Below are 1,499 nucleotides of genomic sequence, written 5' to 3'. Positions count from 1 at the left end.
CTTTGTAAAATGTTAATCTAATAATTTTGTTCCCCTGTTTAAAACCCTCAGAAGGCTTCCTATTGCTGTTAGGATAGAACCACACATATTTCAAGAGGCATAAGACGGAAGCCCTGAACAATCTGGGCCCACATGACCCCGTAAGCCTCATTGTTACCACTTTCTTCCATGACTCTGAGTTTCATCCATACTAGCCTTCATCCAATTTTTACTCACTTTTAAAAGCCTGTATGCATTAGGCTTATCAGAACTTACGGTGAATTTGTATCTGTATTAAATGGTATTAGGGCCAGGGAACCTAGGAATAAGCAAATCCTACAGAGACTATTTCAAAAAGTTTCCAAGGGAGATACATAACAGGGAATAATATCACAGGAACAGAGAAGAATCACAGCACTTTTATGCAGATTTCGGCCCCAAATCTAATTCAAACTTTAGGTAACCAAGCTAGAATAATGGGAACTGGGCCAGTGAGCTGATTGGCCTCCTTATTTCCTAAGGCAAAACCCAACTTTTTGATTCATTATACGCTAACCAGTGCTATGGAAGAGAGAAAGCACAGAGTGACAGCAAGTCACCCTGGTACAGAAATGAGTAGAAAAGAACCAGCGACAAAAGAGTGCTAACAACATAAGCCATGAGACCCTGCCCGCCTGCAAAATTGCTGCATCACTGTTCGGGACCCTGAGGAAAGGCGCACAGCTCCTCCCGCAGGAGCCATAAGAACAAGTTGTTGGTAGGGTTAGAAAAAATTCTTGAAATCCATCTCTAATGTCAATATGACTCTCTTTTCTGAGATTTCTTACCTTTCCATTTTAAAATAAATAATAAGAGGCCGGGCATGGTGGCTCATGCCTGTAATCCCAGAACTTTGGGAGGCCGAGGCAGGCGGATCCCTTGAGGTGAGAAGTTAGAGACCAGCCTGGCCAAAATATTGAAACCCCATCTCTACTGAAAATACAAAAATTAGCTGGGTGTGATGGCGGGCATCTGTATTCTCAGCCACTCAGGAGGCTGAGGCAGGAGAACTACTTGAACCCGGGAGGCGGAGGTTGCAGTGAGCAGAGATCACACCACTGCACTCCAACCTGGGCAACAGAGTGAGATTACGTCTTAAAAAATAAAAATAAAGAAATAAAAATAAAATAACAGTCTTAAAAAAGCAGAAAACCAAAACAAACAGGTAATAGGAGAAAAGCCATGAAAGTTATTTTCCCCAACTAACATCTAGACTACTTTGCCAAAAAAAAATACATATATATATATATATATATATATATAAATACTTTTTTTTTGAGATAGAGTCTCGGTCTGTCGCCGGGCTGGAGTGCATTGGTACGATCTCGGCCCACTGCAACCTCTGCCACCCTGGTTCAAGCGATTCTTCGGCCTCTGCCTCCCAAGTAGCTGGGACTACAGGCGCACACCACCACACCTGGGTAATTTTTGTATTTTTAGTAGAGACGGGGTTTTAACATGTTGGCTAGGATGCTCTCGAT

The 1,499-nt window shown here is 42.4% G+C and overlaps 1 annotated feature.

Moving 5' to 3' along the window:
- Window positions 730-956: a silencer, noted in NCBI's record as "fragment chr18:4603865-4604091 (GRCh37/hg19 assembly coordinates)". NCBI's record gives its function as "represses an EF-1alpha promoter that drives an FKBP-Casp9 reporter gene in an ReSE screen in K562 erythroleukemia cells {active_cell/tissue: K562}" and the evidence as "EXISTENCE:reporter gene assay evidence [ECO:0000049][PMID:32094911]".

Source organism: Homo sapiens, chromosome 18, assembly GCF_000001405.40.
Source record: "Homo sapiens chromosome 18, GRCh38.p14 Primary Assembly".
NCBI lineage: Eukaryota > Metazoa > Chordata > Mammalia > Primates > Hominidae > Homo > Homo sapiens.
This window is presented reverse-complemented; position numbering and strand designations above follow the sequence as displayed.